The 17514-nt window shown below is 51.7% G+C and overlaps 1 protein-coding gene and 1 long non-coding RNA gene across 7 annotated transcripts in view, besides 8 other annotated features; one reads left to right on the top strand and one right to left on the bottom strand.

The window, feature by feature from the left end:
• Positions 1-7004, bottom strand: part of INPP5A (inositol polyphosphate-5-phosphatase A) — a 245694-nt gene extending 238690 nt beyond the window's left edge. For all 6 annotated transcript variants that reach the window (XR_001747104.2, XR_945735.2, XR_007061963.1 and 3 more), the window contains exon 1: positions 6620-7004. Coding sequence is in view for 2 of the 6 variants with exons in the window: in NM_005539.5 (NP_005530.3) it covers positions 6620-6694 (75 nt within the window). In the remaining 4 variants the exon portion in view is untranslated. The remainder of the gene's footprint in view (positions 1-6619) is intronic.
• Positions 2918-3047: an enhancer, noted in NCBI's record as "active region_4228". NCBI's record gives its function as "activates an Ori minimal core promoter by ATAC-STARR-seq in GM12878 lymphoblastoid cells {active_cell/tissue: GM12878}" and the evidence as "EXISTENCE:reporter gene assay evidence [ECO:0000049][PMID:35858748]".
• Positions 2918-3512: a biological region, named in NCBI's record as "H3K4me1 hESC enhancer GRCh37_chr10:134354783-134355317".
• Positions 2978-3512: an enhancer, noted in NCBI's record as "H3K4me1 hESC enhancer chr10:134354783-134355317 (GRCh37/hg19 assembly coordinates)". NCBI's record gives its function as "activates a minimal SCP1, AML or CMV promoter by ChIP-STARR-seq in primed H9 embryonic stem cells {active_cell/tissue: H9 hESC(primed)}" and the evidence as "EXISTENCE:reporter gene assay evidence [ECO:0000049][PMID:30033119]".
• Positions 3058-3217: an enhancer, noted in NCBI's record as "active region_4227". NCBI's record gives its function as "activates an Ori minimal core promoter by ATAC-STARR-seq in GM12878 lymphoblastoid cells {active_cell/tissue: GM12878}" and the evidence as "EXISTENCE:reporter gene assay evidence [ECO:0000049][PMID:35858748]".
• Positions 3513-4047: an enhancer, noted in NCBI's record as "H3K4me1 hESC enhancer chr10:134354248-134354782 (GRCh37/hg19 assembly coordinates)". NCBI's record gives its function as "activates a minimal SCP1, AML or CMV promoter by ChIP-STARR-seq in naive H9 embryonic stem cells {active_cell/tissue: H9 hESC(naive)}" and the evidence as "EXISTENCE:reporter gene assay evidence [ECO:0000049][PMID:30033119]".
• Positions 6054-6103: an enhancer, noted in NCBI's record as "active region_4226". NCBI's record gives its function as "activates an Ori minimal core promoter by ATAC-STARR-seq in GM12878 lymphoblastoid cells {active_cell/tissue: GM12878}" and the evidence as "EXISTENCE:reporter gene assay evidence [ECO:0000049][PMID:35858748]".
• Positions 6884-7983: a silencer, noted in NCBI's record as "silent region_2969". NCBI's record gives its function as "represses an Ori minimal core promoter by ATAC-STARR-seq in GM12878 lymphoblastoid cells {active_cell/tissue: GM12878}" and the evidence as "EXISTENCE:reporter gene assay evidence [ECO:0000049][PMID:35858748]".
• LOC107984282 (uncharacterized) overlaps positions 7868-17514 on the top strand; it is a 28480-nt gene continuing 18833 nt past the window's right edge. The window contains exon 1 of the long non-coding RNA NR_158224.1: positions 7868-8065. This is a non-coding gene — a long non-coding RNA (uncharacterized LOC107984282). The remainder of the gene's footprint in view (positions 8066-17514) is intronic.
• Positions 16505-17005: an enhancer, noted in NCBI's record as "H3K4me1 hESC enhancer chr10:134341290-134341790 (GRCh37/hg19 assembly coordinates)". NCBI's record gives its function as "activates a minimal SCP1, AML or CMV promoter by ChIP-STARR-seq in naive H9 embryonic stem cells {active_cell/tissue: H9 hESC(naive)}" and the evidence as "EXISTENCE:reporter gene assay evidence [ECO:0000049][PMID:30033119]".

The following is a 17514-nucleotide window of genomic DNA, read 5'->3' as shown; positions in this document are numbered from 1 at the left end:
CCAAAGAGCACAGCCTGCTGCGTCCCAAATGCCAGGGCCGGAGGGAGAGGGGCATGCAGAGCTGGCAAACGGAGAACTGCCAGGCTTATTCCAAAAGTCTAAAAATCAAGGACCGACCCGAAATGATGCTGTCTAAGGTAAGGAGGTGTTCAAGATTTAGACGTGGTTTCCTGAGGTGGCAGAAGCAGCTCCCGTACCCTGCAGCCAGGGCCGGGACCACAGTCATATTTAACCCTCCCTGCCCGGCAGACAGACGATCCTGCCGCTTATGAGCCCTGGCAAACAGGTCATAATTCTCCCAGGGAAAGTGCACCGAGATCTTGGGTCAGAGACAGCAACCCAAAAAAAAAGACTGCTGAGACACCTCCAGCCACGCCCATTGCCGCACCGGGGCAGGGAGGGCACCTGCAGACCACAGGCCGCCCCCATCCTCTGTGCCCGGCACACAGGTAGGAAGACAGCTGCCTCCGAAATGAGGACGCCCCAACCTCCTTGAGAGCTGGCACTCTGCTCTGGCCGGAGCGGCAGAGCAGGGCCCCACCTACTGCAGGCTAGCATCCTGGTTGTGCGCTTCTCGCTGGGAGTGGGCACCCACACAGAGATGGCACTTATGGCTGTGCGTCTAGATGAGGTCCCAGGAAGGGAGAAGGGTGGCCAGCCTGAGCCCAGGGGCGCCAACACTGAGAGGTGCAGAAACCAGAACCCTGGGAGGGATGTGACATGGGGCAGCCACCATGGACTGCCTGACAGGCCCTCAAGGGTTAAATACGAACTCACCACGTCACCCAGCAATGCCAAGACTATGCACACCCAACAGCACTGAGAACGCATGTCCGCCTAGGGACGCCTGCAAAGATGCACACAGCAGCACTGTTCACCAGAACCGGAAGGCGGGAACAGCCCAAACATCCACTGTTCACCCGAACTTAAAGGTGGGAATAGGCCAAACATCCACTGTTCACCAGAACCGGAAGGAGGGAACAGGCCAAACATCCACCAGCTGATGAACACAGAAACAAAACTTGGTGTATCCACACAATGGAATATTATTCAGCCATAAACAGGAATAAAGAGACTTGGCACTGTGGCTCATGCCTGTAAGCCCAGCACTTTGGGAGGCCAAGGCCAGGGGATCACTTGAAGCCAGGACTTTGAGACTAGCCTAGGCAGCATAGTGAGACCTCATCTTCTCAAAAAGTAAAAAGAATTAGCTGGGCATAGTGGTGCATGCCTGTAGTCCCCGTTATTCAGGAGGCTAAGGCAGGAGGATCACTTGAAGCCAGGAGGTCAAGGCTACAGTGAGCTGCGATCACACCATTGCATTCCAGTCTGGGTGAACAGCAAGACCCCGTCTCTGTAATTTAAAAGAAAAAAGAAAGAAAGGAAGAAATGCAGGACTGACGCACGCTGCAGCATGGACACTTTTACATACGCTCAGTGAAAGCAGTCAGGTCAAAGGGCAGACCGTCTGATCCCATGTATGTGAAACGCCCGGGACAGGCAAATCCACAGAGAGGAAAACTGACTGCAGGGGGTGGGGAGGCTGGGGGACGTGGGGCTTGGGTGCTAATGCAGCTTCTTTTTGAGGTGATAAAAATGTTCTACAATTGCCTGTGGTGACAGCTGCACACCCTGTGAACATACTGAAAACCAGTGAATTGTACACCTCATATGGGAGAAAGGGCTGGGTGTGAGGGCCCACACCTGTGATTCCAACACTCCGGGAGACAGAGATGAGAGCACTGCTTGAGCCCAGGAGTTTGAGCCCAGTCTGGGCAACACAGCAAGACCCCATCTCTACAAAAAATAAAAATAAAAAAATCAGCTGGGTGTGGTAGCGTGCACCTGTGGTCCCAGCTACTTAGAAGGCTGAGGCAGGAGGATGGCTTCAGCTCACTTCAGCCCAGGAGTTCAAGGCTACAGTGAGCCACCGCACTCCAGCCTGGGTGACAGAATGAGACCCTGTGTGAAAACAAAAAAGAAAAGGAAAAAGAAATGGGTGAGGGGCATGGTGTGCGAATTCTGTCCCAGCACAGCCATTACCAAGTGAAACGTCCCTGAAGAAGAAGGAGGATCCACAGAGGGAGCAAAAATTCTGGCTAGTCACTGCCAGCTGGGTACAACCCGCACCCAGCCCTGGGCCCTGCTGTGCAGGAGTGCTGGGGCAGAGGCCTGGAGAAGGACATGGAGGGGAGACCCCCCCACCCCACTCGAGGGCTGCCACGGTAGAGAGTCAGGATGCCCCGCAGTGGCTGGAGGAAACATGGAGTTCAGAGTTTTCAAGGTGGGAGAGAGGGCAGTACCTTTGGTGTTGCCAGGAACCACATGGCAAAGAAGGCAATGCTGATGCTACCAGAGAGAGACGCCAGCCTGCACCACTGACCATCACCGACTCCATACCCACAGCAGCTCCGCCACCTCCACGCTCTTCCAGGGCTCTTCAACACCTGCTGACTGCAAGGTGCTCAGGTCCCTGCCAGCGAGCACTTGCCGAGCCCACTCTCACAGCCGTTCTGCAAACCCGGGTCTGGGCAGAGGGACAGGGCTGCCCGGGAGCTGACTAAGCAAAAAGGCAAACTGGCTCAGAACTGACTTAGCTGCGAACAAGCAGCAGGAAGGGCCACCAGGCAGATACCCGCCAGCGGGCTGTGTTCTCAGGACCAAACAGCAGCCTGACCATGCAAGGGTGGGACGCCACAGCTGGCAAGAATTCACCTCCTCAATTCCCTTCTCATAAAAATGGAAGGAACCAAAAGCCAGAAACCTCACTTGTCAAAAAACCAGCCACATCAAAGCAAAACAATTAAATATGGACCCCTGGTCACCTCTTTCCAAGCAAACCAGTAGTGACAGCAGGAGTCCAATCCAGGAATTAAAGACCAGCTGCAGGGCTCACCGAGGGTGATCTGGCAGTCTGCATAAGCCTGGGAAAGTCCCAGGCACCCCAGCCACCTGGCCAGAGACAGGGGTGCCCATGACAGTATGGGGAGGGAGGACTGGGCTGAGGAGGCCTTTTCACAGGTTGACTAGGTCAACACTATTTCCATAATACTACAAAATGACTCCTCTTTCCATTCTCACTGTCTCCTAGGGAAGAACGGCCAACACCTGAGGGGGTGCCTGTGATGTGGGATGATGTAATCGCTCTGCCAGCTAGTGCAGTGAGCTATGTATTCTCATGCAGTCTCAGCTCCCAATATGAGAAATATTGGTAGTTATAACCAACATAAACAAGAACTCTTTCGGGTCCTCCATAATTTCTAGGAAAGTGAGGGATAAGGGCTTGGGGACCGGTACACTGTAAGGCATTTACCGCAACACTGTCTGCACAGGGTCAGACACAACCCCAGTGGGGACAGCCCCGCAGCCCGCAGCATGGCCAATCTGGGGTCACAAAGATGGAGTAGTGATGAGCAAACAGGGGCTGCTGAGTGAGATTCCGTGTGGATCCCAGGATGCTACAAACCACAGCTGAAGTGGATGCACGCAGCGTTTTGAGAGGGGTGACCTCTGGACCAGGGACAGTGGCTCACACCTGTAATCCCAGCACTTTGGGAAGCCGAGGCAGGTGGATTGCTTGGGCCCAGGAGTTCCAGACCAGCCCGGACAACACGGCGAAACCTGGTCTCTACAAAAATTAGCTAGGCATGGTGGCATGTGCCTGTGGTCCCAGCTACTTAGGATGCTGAGGTTCACCTGAGTCAGGGCGGTCGAGGCTGCAGTGAGTTGTGACCGCACCACTACAGCACTCTAGCCTGGGCGACAGAATGAGACCCTGTCTAAAACAAAAACAAGAGGGGGAGGAGGAGGGGCCTTAAGAGGGGAGACTTTCAAAACTGCAAAAGCAAAAGCAAACCACCTATCACTTGTGCACAAAAGGAAAACAGAGTCCGCCACAGTCCGGGATATCTGCTTCAGATTCAAACACCTTCCTCCTCGGAACTGTGACCGGCTCCAGCACTGGTCACAGACGAGCTTGGCTTCCAACACGGTGAGACTGGGCGAGAAAGATTCCTTCACAGCCTGAGCACTGCCTGCAGGGTGCGTTCGTCAGCACGGGACGGGCTGCACAAAGGCAAACAGAATCTCAAAGCAGGTCCCCTGAAATCCAGGACAAACCAAGAAACCAAAACTTCCTTCACTCATGAATTTCCTTCCACCGGCCAGGCTTCTGGCCCACAAGTACCACACCCCAAACCTCAACCAAGGAAGGGGGCCTGGGAATGTGAGTGCCTGGCTGGTTTCCACTGAAGGAGACTGGGTCTGGCCCCCGGGGACTGAGCTGCACACATTAAGAAATCTTCAGACACGGACAGATAAGTTTCCACTCAGCCCTGAAATCACAATGCACCTTTCAGAATTAACCTATGTACTGTTGACCTAAACAAATGTTCCTTCTAAACATAAACATAATGCAAAATTCCACATAGCCTTTAAGAAAAATGAAAATTCAGAGAGAATAGGTTGCTAAACAAAAGTGAATTAAGTTACCCAATTTAATATCAACAGAGATAAATACGTGTATACAATTGAAACACAACAAAAATGCTAGAACTCAGAATCAAAGATTACTGGAAAGAATGTCTGCACAGTAAAACTCGTTTCCCTTTGAGACTAAAATGCCCCAGCAAGCTTAATGCTCCTGACATTTCTGAGGCTTTGAAGCCGCAGCTAACGGATCTGAATCATCTGAACAAAACCATGCTATAGTGACATGTTACTGGAAAGCCTAGAATAGAACGCCAAATATACAGACACACACCCATGCCAGGCACTTTTGTAGAAAATGATCAAACATAAACCTAGATGAAGTTGTTAATAATAAAGTGTGAGGAAAACCAGTTCCTCCCCAGCAGGTCAGTATAATACATGGGCACCTGGAAGTTAAAATAAGAAAAACAGAAAAACAGCGCCTTTTGTTAATAAAAACCAAACCTAGCCTGTGCATGAACTGAGCTTCATCAAACACTTCACCCATGCTTGCTGCCAGCAAAGACACAAGACCTCCTCCTGAAATGGAAACCACGCGTGCATCAGTGGCACACATCCGTCATAAAGCTGGTGCGGTGCCCCACTGTTCACCTAGGGAGGGAGGGAGGGAGGGAGGGAGCGTCCGTGGCTCCACGGCCTCCATCTGGGCCACTTGGAGCCTCACTCTGCTTTATTTGGGTTGGCAGCAGGAGTACCAACAGCAGGGTGGCACCGTGGCTGAAACGCCAAACTAGGTCAGACCGGCCTGCCTCTGGGGAGCTCCCAGTGCGCCCTGGGCCTCAGCTCCCTGGTCTCTCCAGAGATGGGGGCACCCTGGGATCCTGGGTGGGAATGAGGCTTGGGTGGGAGGGGCCCTAGAAGGTAAAGGCCATAGGCAGTCAGCATCCCCTTTCTGGCCCTGAAGAGCTTCTCAGCATCTTTTTCTTCAATAAACAAGAAATATAAAGTCCTACAGTGCTTTACAGACTTCCCTTATTTACGAACTAAAGAGATACTAAGTGGCAGGGTTAAATGGGGGCACCCTACCCTCTGGCCCTGCAGGGACAGACAGACAGTGAGGCCGGCACCCAGGCATCCAGGAGCTGGGGCTGACAGCCAGAGTGGAGGGCCTAGGCTCAGAGGACAGGGGCCAGGGGTGGGAGTCAAGGGTTAGGGTTTGGGAATTCTGCAGGCTCAAGGCCCAGGCTTTAAGACCAGGATTCAGGATTCAGGATTCAGGGGCAGGAGCTTGTTGGAGGAAGGGGCCAAGGATGGGATCTAGGAACCAGAGTTAGGGGCAGGGTCCAGAATTGGGTTTGGGGCCTGATTCTGGAACCAGGGTTCCAGGTTCAGGGGTCAAGGACAAGTGTTCAGGGCCATAAGCTGGGGCCTGAGGTTGAAATTCAGGGTTCAGAGTCAGGCTAGATTGGCTTTAGAGGCAAAGGGCCACAGTATGAAGGCTGGGATTCTAGGGCTAGAATTCAGTGATTGGGGAACAGGGACAGGAGGTTGGGGCCACAGCCCTGTGTCAGAAGTTCCTGGGTTAGGGTTTGTGGTTATGTTTCAGGGTTTGGGGTCCAGGGCTCAGGGACCAGAGACAGACGTTTGAGAGCAGGTTCTGTAACCAGAGTTCTGCAGTCAGGATTTGTGGTTCCAGTGACCATGGACCTGGGGTTCAGGGCCAGGGTTGGGGATGGGCATTCCAGGGCCAGGGTTCTGAGGATTCGGAAATCAGGGCTGGGGCTGGGTTTGGTGCGCACAGACCCGGTTTCTGGGGTTTGGGTTCCAGGAACTGTTAACAGGGGTTCTGACAGGGTTTTAATATTGGAGTTTCGAGGTCAGGATTTGCAGACAGGAGTTCAGAGGCAGGGTCCCAGGGTCAACGGTCAGCTGCTGGAGTCTGGAGGATGGGGTTCGGGGATTCAGGGCCCAGGTCTTCAGGTCTCGGGCTTGGGGATCAAGACAGGGGTCTGGGCTCCCAGACTTGGGAATCAGGACAGGAGTCTGGGGTCCCGGGTACAGGGATCAGAGTCTGGGGCCTCTGGGTCTGGAGGTTCACGGTCCAGGGTCCAAGGCTTGCAGTTCGGGACCCCGGGGTCAGGGTCGGGGGTTCCGGGCTTGGGGCCTGCCGCCGGCACGGGGGACTTACGTCGTCGAAGAGCGAGCCCACGTTGGCCGTGACCAGCAGCACCGCGGTGCCCGGGGCGGCCGCCTTCCCCGCCATGGTGCCCGGGCGGCGCGGGCGCTGGGCTGGGCGGCGGCGGCGGCGGCCGCTTCCTCCGGGACCGGCCGGCCGGGGTCTTCGCGGGGCCGCGGGGCGTCAGCTGCGCCGGGGGGCGGCCCCGGGGCGCATCGCGGGCTCGGCGGGTCGGCCGGGCCTGGCCGGGGCTCCGGCCTCGCGCTCGCTCGCTCGCTCGCTGCTCCGCGGCCCCGCGCCCGTCGCTCGCCGCCGCGCCTCACAGCGGCCCGCGCGCAGCCATTAGATCCGCTGGGAAAGTTCCCGCAGCCGCCGCCGACTCAGGCTGAGGGCAAGTCCCGCCCCGCGGAGCCGAGCCCGGGGCGGGGCCTGGGCGGGGCGGAGCCTGACTCGGGGTGGGGCCTGTGCGGGGTGGAGCCGGGCCTGGGGCGGAGCCTTGCTGGGGGCGGAGCCTTGAGGTGCGGAGCCTGAGTTGGGCCTAGATCTGAACAGAGTGGGGCGGGGCCTGCGGGGGGCGTGGCTTGTGCGGGACTTGGTGTCCTTGTGGAGGCGGGGCCTGCCCCGGGGCGGGGCCTCCTTTCGGGGCGGGGCCTACGCGGGGCGCTCTTGCGACCGGCGGCCTAGTACTGGTCGCTCCCGGAGGGCGCTCCTGTCAGTCAGGCCCGCAAGAACGCCGCGCCCCCGCCCCGCCCCCCGCGCCGCGGCTGCGCACAGACTCCGCCCTTCGCACTTCTATGACGTCACGGCCCTGCTCCGGCGGCGCCTCTTAAAGGGGCCCTGGGTTCCGGGCGCCGGCGGCGGGTGCGCTCTCTTGCGGCTCTGAGGGGATGTTCCAGCCCCCGCGCGGCCGCAGTCGTCCAGCCGCGTGCCGGGCGTGCGGGGGAGGGGAGCCCACCGGGGCGGCGGCAGTCGCGCCTGCAGGGGCCGGGCCACGCGCGCCCGGCTCTCCGCGCAGACGGAGCGTGGACCGTGCAGCTTCCCGGCGCGTCCACCCGGCTCCCTGGCCGCGACCTCACTCACGAGGAGCGGCTGCGGCCCAGAGAAGACGGAGGGGAGGCGGCGTGAGGCCAGGCGCATCCTGACGTCGCGGAGGGCTCCGGCCCGGGCCAGGCTGGGTCTCAGCGCGGGGCGTGCAGGGAACCCTCGCAGGGACGAAGGGGGCTCCAGGGGAGGGGGCTGGTGCGGGCCCAGGAGCGCAGAGCACGGAGGAGCAGCCGGCTCGGCGCGGGCCCCGGGGCAGCGATGCTGATCCTGGCCGCCGGAGGGGCCAGAGCATGGGCTGGACCCTGGGTCTGAGGCCGCGGGGACACAGCCGCCGTGAACCGGGACATGCCTGTAGATGGAGGAGGAGAACCACATTTGTCATCTTAAAGCTTCCAGTAGCTACATTTTTTAAAGGTAACAAGTAATAGCCAAAGTTAACAATACGTTTTACTTAACCCAATAGATAGATACATCATTCAACATGTAACCAGAATTTAACAACCTCAGTGAGATTCCTTCACAGGAAGGCTTTGCACGGGCACCTGCCTCTTGGCAGCAGCTCACAAGGCCGCTTCCAGTGCTCAGCAGCCCTGTGTGGCCAGTGGCCACCATGCGGAGCAGGCACTCCGGAGGATTTTGTGGACACAGATTTAGGGGCGGTCAGGGCCTGGCAATGGGCTCTAGCGAGGCTAGCCTCCAGCTTCTGAGTAAACCGCCAAGGCAATGCCCAATGACATCAAAAGGGGCTTGTTCTGTTCTAGGAAGACACCTGCTGCCAGGGCGGGGCGGCAGGAATGGTGCTGCAGGCTCGGGCCCCAGGCCTGTGCTGAGGCCGCATCACTGGCTTGTGTTAACACCCCCAGGGTTCCTCCTTACGGCCACCGCTGAGCAGGACTCCAGCAAAATCCATTTGATGTATAAACCAATGTCTACTTTAGTCAGTAGGTGCCTGCTACAGACTGAATTCCGCCCGCCCCACCCCACCCCACCCCGCAAATTCATGGGTTGAAGCCCTAACCTCCAATGTGACTGTATTCGGAGGTGGGCTAGCGGGGGTAATTAATGTTAAGTCGTGCAGTAGGGCTGGTGTTTAATGTTAAGTCGTGCAATAGGGCTAGTGTTTAATAGAAAGGGCTCAGTGCTGTCCCCACCCTTACATGTGCAAAAGAAGTGGCAGTGTGAGTGCACAGTGGGAAGCTTCACCCCAGCCAGCCACAAACCCTGCACCAGAAATCCAACGCTGCTGGAACTTGATCTTGGATTTCCAGCCCCCAGAACTGTGAGAAGTAAAAGTCTTGTTTCAGCCTCCCAGCCTGTGATATTTCGCTACAGCAGCTGAAGCTGACTGATGTAGTCGCTTATTTTTCTTTTTAACAAAATCAGCACATGCTAAGGGTACCCTTAGTAGAAACCAAATGTGGGGGTGTCACTGATCCCTGGAACGTGCTTTCTGAGAAGGGACATTGCCTCCTCACTTCTCCCCGCAGGCTGTGCCCTCACACCCGGCTGAGGCAGCGTCCCCCACCCCTTGTGCCCTCCCTGCTCCCCCCTCCTCCTCTCCTCGCCAGCCAGCTCCTGCCATGCCTGGACGTTGGCCTCTGCCCTTCCTCCAGGCAGCCACCTCCTCTTTCCCATGCACCCCTCACCCACCACAGGTTCAGCCCCTCACAGTTCTCCTGCCTCCTATATTCCGTGCTCATTACCAGAACCTCCAGAACCCAAGGGGGTGCGGCCTGGACCTCCCACTTCTGCATCCACGGCCCTGGGCATAGCCTGGATGTTCTCATCACCAATGACCACACCAAGGCCGAATCCAGGCACCTTGCCCTCCCCACCACCTCCTCTCCTTTGGTTTCACTTCCGTGGGACCTCATGGAAACCTACAGCCCATGCTGCTCCCATGCCTTCGTTAGCCACCGCCACACGTGCACACCCACACAGAAACACATGCACACGCATGCACTTGCACGCACACACATCTGCACATGCGCATGCACGAACATGCACACGTGCACACATGACCACGCATGTGCACACCTCTTCTTCCTGCCTTACTCTGCTTCTCTCTGAGGGTAGAATCACTTTGTGTACCCACTCCCTCCCCTCTCCCTGCCCCCCAGCACTCACCCAGCTGGCCCCCAGGACTGATTTACTTGCTTACAGTGAACCTGCGCCCAAATTAGAGAAAACTAAATTGGGGGAAAAACTAGACAACACCTTATTTCCATGCCCCTGGCATCTCCCAGGTCTCAGGCACACCCACGTTGAGCACTAGGCCTCCTGGCTCTGCGCATGTGCACTCCACCACTCCAAGAGGCCACTGCAGCCTTCCCCTTCTCTAACCACCAACTACGCTCCCTGGAGGAAACGTTTGCCCTTTGTTGAGGAAGGATTTGCAGTCTGGGATTTTCCCACTGTCACCCTAAATAACAGAGAGAGGCTCTCTAAAAGAAAATGAGATTTACTCGGGAACATTCATTGCAATAGAATATGTGTGCCATCGTAAATTGGGTGTGGGTCAAGGAAGGTAAAGGAAGACAAAGATTTTCAAAGGAAACAGGAGGATTACATCATTGTTTTGAATCAATGATCCTTGGCTACAAGGATCTCCAGGAAGGATGGTGCCAGTCTGAGGCTGGACAGGCAGCTACTGGGCAGATGTCTTCCCAGAAGTGTTTGTGTGTGTAAGTTGTGATGGTCTTTGTGCACGGCTGTGATTTTTGCAGTCTTTTGTGATTGTTCTTGCTATCAAGCATGTCTGCATAAGAACCCTCCCTTCATGCCCTTCCACAGTCTATATGTCAGGGTTTTTAATACCAGTGACTCCATTTGGATTCTGACTGTGATCACGCCACTAAGTCAACACATCCAGCATCTGGTGTCTGTCCTGCACATCCTCCATGCTGCTACATGGAATGAGGTGCCTGTCCCCGCCCAAGGCCACCCCCTCCTGGGTCACGTCGGCAGTTCACAAGCATGCTGCGGTCTCTCAGATCTCTGGAAGCCTCCAGCCTGTGCCCCTCCATTTTCCTCCCCCCTCTCTGCTCTCCTTGCTGCAAACCTTGTCCTAAAAGTCTGCCCATCTCTGCCCCGCATGCCAATGGACCACTCTTGTCCAGGCCCTCGAATTGTGCTTCTCATGCCCACACCCCATGGGGCATCCTAATTCAAGGGCCAGCCCCCCAGGCCTGATTGCAGCTGACCTTCCAATACGGTTGACCACTGGCTGCCTCTTGGAAGTGAGCCTTGCCCTGGCATCTGTGGCATTCCTGCTCTTCCCTCCCAACTGCGCTGACCACCCCCAGTCTCCTCTGCTGGCTCCCTTCATGCTCACCTGAGTTCTGGGGCCCTGGGGTCCTGGGTGTGCCCTTCCTGTGTTCACTTTCTCCCGGCTGACCTGGCTGGGCCCTCACCTTAGATCATATCAGCATGCCGACCGCTGCATGGGCATGGCAGACCTGTCACTGTGCCCGGGGCCTGGCTCTCCTATGTTCAGAAAGACATTGGCCACTTGTGTCACCTGTGTTAAAAGCCACACTCATGAAACCAGGTGAGAGGGAGGATGCCTCTCCCTTGTGTGCCCTTCTTCACCCTTGAAATATTGCCCCGTGTATTTGCTCCTTTGCCAAAATAATAATAATAACGAGTTTCCTAAAGACCTACTTACCTGGCTTAAGGAGATCCTGGGCCCACCTAGTCTGCAAGGAGCAGAGAGGGAGATGGGGAGCAGAGCCTGCCCGATTTTCCTCCTCCTACCATGGATGAATTCCTCAGCAGCTGCCAACCCTCTTCAACCTGGTCAGCCACTTGGCCCAAAGCTCTTGTTCTCCCAGGAGGGAAATTCGGCCCAAGACTTTTATTAGACAACAATATATTGCGAGCTTTTTAAAAAGGACAGCACTAAATATCACATTGTTACTTCGTTTAAGACAGTAACCAATTTGCTTATGGATTCATAGTTATCAGAGGCTTCCAGCCAGCATCCCTCATGCATGTCCACAGCAGATTCAGAAGGTGCCCTGCGGCATGTCTGCGTCTAGCACTGCGCAGCCGTAAAGTGCATTTCTAGCGTCTAATAATCATCGCTCTTCAGTACTCCTGCCGGGTGGGTCAGACTTACTCCATTGCATATAAAAACACTGAGGTTAAGTGACTCACTCAAGATAATTGTCTGCAGACAGAGCCTGGCTAGGTGCACAGTGAAAGGAATCCAGGGTCCTGTCCTCTTTGGGAGTGGCTAGACCTGGTCACTTTAGGCAGAGGTATTTTGCCATTAGTAAGCTCTGACGTCACCCAGAATTCATCTAGAAAGGGAGCTGTTGAATTATGGGGATACTTTCCTCATTAATCAGCTTAGTAACAGTTATCATTTTTCAGGAACCAATTGTGTGTGAGGGGTTTACATTTCCTATTTCTAATCCTCACAAAGGTCTTACAAGGTATGTATGTCTGTTTTACATATAAGGAAAGCAAGGCTGTAGAATTAAGAAGTTTACCAACCTCACACAGCCTCTAGGATACCTAGCGAAGAACAGAGCCCAATCAGGACCCCAAGCCAGCTGGCCCAGGCAGCGCTGTGTGGCTTAACCTCCATACACGCATGCATTTAATTTATTTAATGCATTCTCTGTGCTATGCGCTGTTCTAGACACCAGGGATGAGACGGTGAAAAACAAAACAGAAAGACATTGTCCTCAAGAAGCTGGCATTCCAGCAGCAGGAGCAGGCTCGAAGCAGGTGCAGGGTCATTCAGATCACATGACATCATGCCAGCCTCCTGCATGTTTCCTTGTAAAAGTCACATGCTCATCGTAGCATGATGAGCCTTTAAACTTTTCCATGTAGAAGTCATCTGCTCAACATTTTACAACTACAGAGCAGGGTACAGGGTATTCAGGGAAGAATGTTCACTCACAACTTCACTCCAAATATACCAAGCACTGTCACTATTTTGATAATATTTCTGTCGAGTTTCATTTATGCTTAGCTCTGTAGTGAGCACTCGGATCATTCCGTATACACAACTGTGATGCCTTTTTTAAAAAGCCGACATTAGAACATACATCCTTTCTCATTCAACTGAAAACTCTAAATGTTTTTAATGCCTATGTAGTAGTCAGCTGATAGACGTGGTGGTTTACCTAACTGATAACACCGTATTGTTGTAAGTTAAGGTTGTTTTCAATGCTGCATGATTAGAAAAATGGCAGGATGAACATCTTTGTACTTAAGCATTTTTAGGTCTTAGGATTCTTTTCTCAGTATAGTTTCCAAGAATTAAAATGTTTTAAAGGGTACAAATAAAGAGCATGAAAACACAAAATGTATAAGATGCAGGTAAAGCAGTGCTTAGAGGAAGATATATAGCTTTAAAGGCTTATTTAGAGAAGAAGAAAAAGTGTAAAATAAATGTCCTACAGTTCCAAATTAATAAGCTATAAAAATAAAGCAAATTAAACCCAAACTCAGTACAAAAGAGGAAATAATAAAGTCAAGAGTGTAATCAATGAAGTAGGAAGCAAACAAGACAGGAAATAAATAAAACCTAAAAGCTGGTTATTTAAAATAATCAATAAAATTAAAAAACCAGGCCAGGTGCAGTGGCTTAAGCCTGGAATCCTAGCACTTTGGGAGGTCAGGCAGGCAGATCACTTAAGCCCAGGAGTTTGAGACTAGCCTGAGCAACATGACGAAACTCTGTCTCTACAAAAAATACAAAAATTAGGCATGGTAGCATGCACTTCTAAACCCAGCTACTCAGGAGGCTGAAGTGGGAGGATCACCTGAGTCTGGGAGGTAGAGGCTGCAGTGAGCCATGATTGTGCCACTGCACGCCAGCCTGGGCTGCAAAGTGAGACCCTGTCTCCAAAAAAAAAAAAAAAAAAAAAAAAAAAATTTAATTGATGAATGAAACCAATATCTAGAATGATGAGGGTGATGCAGAAAGGCCAAAACAGAGACATAAGTTACTAATATGTGTAAGGAATGAGAAAGGAGACATTACTACAGACCCTACACACTTTAAAAGGTAGTAAGAGAATAAACAACTTTGTGTTGACATACCAACAATTCAGATTAGAAGGACCAATTTCCTGAAAGACACAAACTACAGAAACTCATTCAAGAAGAAATAGCTGCTCTGAATAGCACTCTATCTATTAAAAATTTTGAATCTATGATTTAAAATCTTCTCACAGGGAAAATTTTAGGCCCAGATGGCTCCACTGGTGAATTCTGTCAAACATTTGAGGAATAAATAGTAACAGTTCTAGACAAACCCTTCCAGAGATTTGGGGGAGGGGTGGACTATTTCCCATTCAGTCAGTGAAGTTAGATTTCTCTAATCCCAAAATTAGACAAAGACAATACAAGAAATGTAAACACCAATATTCCTGATGAACACTATCGCCGAAATCCTCAGGAAAATGTTGGTAAATCTTGTCAATATGCAAAAAGAATAATACCTCATGCCCAAATATGTTATCCAAGGAAGATAAGATTGGATTGAGATCCGAAAATCAATTTAATATATCGTATTAATAGATTAAGAAAAAATATGATCAGGTCAATAGATATAGAAGCGCACTTGACAAAATTCCATATCCTCTTACGATAAACACTCTTCATGAACTAAAAATAAAGGGGACTTCTTAAATCTGATGAAATGCATCTATTGAAAAATTACAGATAACACGGTTAGTGCCGAACGATTGAACACTTGCCCCCAAGGTTACGAACAAGGCAAGGATGTCTGCTGTCACCCCTTGTATTCTACTTGACATTGTACTAAGGTCCCAGTCTGTACAATAAAATGAGAGAAAGAAATAAAAGTCGTACAGATTGGAAAGGAAAAAAATAAAACTGCCTTTGTTTTCAGCAACAGGATGATATGCATAGACTATCCTAAGAGACCTGCAAAACATACATACTACTGGATAAGTGAATTTAACAAGGTCATGGAGTACAAATCAATATTTTAAAAAATGTATTGTTGTATATTAGAAATCAGCATTGGAAAATAAAGTTTTAAATAATTTTCATTTATAATAGCATAAAATTTAAAATAGGAATAAGTGTAATATAAGATATACGAGACTTTTACAAAATCTACAGAACATGGCAGGTTAAAACTTAAGTATCTAAGTAAATGGAGATAAACCATGTTCACAGATTGGAAGACTCAGTGATGTTAAGATGTCAGTTTTCCTCAATTGTTCTATAGGTTTAACATAATCTCAGCTTCCTCCTCCTCCTCCTCCTCCTCCTTCTTTTTCTTTAGAAATGACAGGTTAATTCTAAAATGTAGATGGAAATGGAAAGGTCCTAGAATAGCTAAAAAAGTTTTAAAAAAGAACAAAGATGAGATAAACTACCTGATTTCAGGACTTACACAGCTGCAGTTGAGAGGGTTTGTGCTGGCATAATGGTAGGCACACACGCAGATCAATGGAACAGAATAGAGAAGCCAAAAGCAGACCAAACTGATTTCAACAAAGGTTTCAATTCAGTGGGAAAAGAGCAGTCTTTGTAACAAACGGTGCTGGGGTCACTGTAAATCCATGTGGAACAAAGTGAACCTTGATGTACCCGCAATTCACAAAAATTAGCTGGGTGTGGTGGTTCCAGACCAGTTTGGGCAACATGGACTCTGCCCCCCCAAAAATAAAATTCACTAAATATGGATCATAGTCCCAAACACAAAAGCTAAAGCTAAAAATCTAGAAACGTGAGAATGTTTTTGAGACTTTTGGGCAGGCAAAGATTTGTTAGAAAAGACATCAGAAAACACTAACATAAAAGAAAAAAAATGAATAAAGTGCACTTCATCAAAATTTTAAAACTATACTCTTTGAAAAACACCATGAATAGGCCAGGCATGGTGGCTCACGCCTGTAATCCCAGCACTTTGGGAGGCCGAGGCAGGTGGATCACCTGAGGTTGAGAGTTTGAGACCAGCCTGACCAACATGGAGAAACCCCATCTCTACTAAAAATACAAAATTAGCTGGGCGTGGTGGTGCGTTCCTGTAATCCCAGCTACTTGGGAGGCTGAGGCAGGAGAATTGCTTGAACCCGGGGCGAGGGGTGGGCGGGGTGGCGCGGAGATTGCGGTGAGCCAAGATGGCACCATTGCACTCCAGCCTGGGTGACAGAGCACGACTCTGTCTCAAAAATAAAATAAACTTGAAAAAAGAAATGATTACATCTACAATTCTTACATATAATAATGTAAATCAAAATCCTCTAAACACAAAAATTGTTTTATTTGTTGACATAACCTGAAGTAAGGAAAAATCGTGTCTTTGCGCCTGCACTGAGTGTGGTTGTCCACGTGTGCTGCTTTGGAAACATCGAAACGTGCGGACATACGTGCTGCTGAGGCTGCGTAACAGGTGGGATATGCAAGCTACCCTCTTTCTAAAATCCGAAGGGAAGAAAAACTGAATTCTGAATTACATCTGGCTCCAAGATTTCGCATAAGGAATTGTTGAGCAACATCTCAGAAAACAGCTGCATTCAGACCCGCACAGCTCATTCTTTAGAGAAATCACTCCAAGGGTCAAACATCTGGAAACACAATAGCAAGGTCTGCAGCTGCTTCTCTGGTTCCTGTGCAGATTGGACACTTTGTTTCATCGTCATCCTAGAACCTGCAGAAACGGAGCATCTTGGGGGAGGAGCCTGGAGCAGGACCTGGCACACAGCAGCCTCCCATGTGGACGGAGGGACCCCCAGGTTCCCAGCCTAGGAGCAGCCCTGCACACAGGGCAAGAGCAAAGGCAGCTCGCGACCTGCCTCCCTGCTCCACCAAATGAAATATGATCTTCCCTGGAAGCAAATCACTAGTCAGGGGCTCTGTACACATCTATGCACGTTTCAAAAGTCCCGACAGTGAGAAAGGGAAGCCCCTGGGAAGCACCAGCAGCAGCTGGACCCTCGGTTTCTGCAGGGTTCCCCCTCTGCCCTCATAGGACACCCACAGCTCTTCCTTTTGGTTGGTTCTTGATCAGCACCATAAAATCCATGGCCATCTTTGCCCCCGACAGGTTTGAGGTCAACCCTGCCCAGCCCTGCTTTGAACCTGGGTGTCCCCAGCCAGACACACTCAACCCATGTGACCCTGACACTTCCCATGGCCCCGGGGGGCGGGGGGTCACTGTTGTCATTCCACCTGACTTTGAAGGAAAAGAAATTGTGACTTCGGATTCCTCATGGCAAAAGCCATAGGTTTGCGTCTCCAGTCAGATACGGGTGAGGGAACAGGGCGCCTGTTCTTTACGGTCGGTAAAGCAGTGAGTCCCTCTCTTTTGGCTGGGACAGGTGGTTGACAGCACCAGATTATTGACACGAAATGTACGTGCGTACCGTGAGTCAGGAGGGTAAGCCAGAGGGACGCCAGTGCGCTCTCTGTGGTAGACTCCCCGCTCGGGCAATGCAGCCCCTGCCAGGACACGGTGAGGGGCTAAACCTTGTGGCCAAAAGGACAAATAGCCCAAACCATGAGCAAAACAACATCAGCAAAAACAGACAAGGAAAATCTGTGTCTGTCTTGGCAATGCTCTTTGAAGTTGTCAGAGCTTCTGGCATTCTTTCAGCCTGTTTCAAGGGTCAGGCAAGATTTTCTTCTAATGACCAAGTCTTAGGAAAGGGCCGGGCGCAGGGGCTCACGCCTGTAATCCCAGCACTTTGGGAGACTGAGGCGGTGGATCACCTGAGGTCAGGAGTTCAAGATCAGCCTGACCAACATGGAGAAACCCTGTCTCTACTAAAACTACAAAAATTAGCCAGGCATGGTAACACACATCTGTGATCCCAGCTACTCGGGAGGCTGAGGCAGGAGAATCACTTCAACCCAGGAGGCGG

Source organism: Homo sapiens, chromosome 10, assembly GCF_000001405.40.
Source record: "Homo sapiens chromosome 10, GRCh38.p14 Primary Assembly".
NCBI classification, from domain to species: domain Eukaryota; kingdom Metazoa; phylum Chordata; class Mammalia; order Primates; family Hominidae; genus Homo; species Homo sapiens.
The sequence above is the reverse complement of the archived record's forward strand: the minus strand, read 5'-3'. Positions and strand labels throughout refer to the sequence as shown.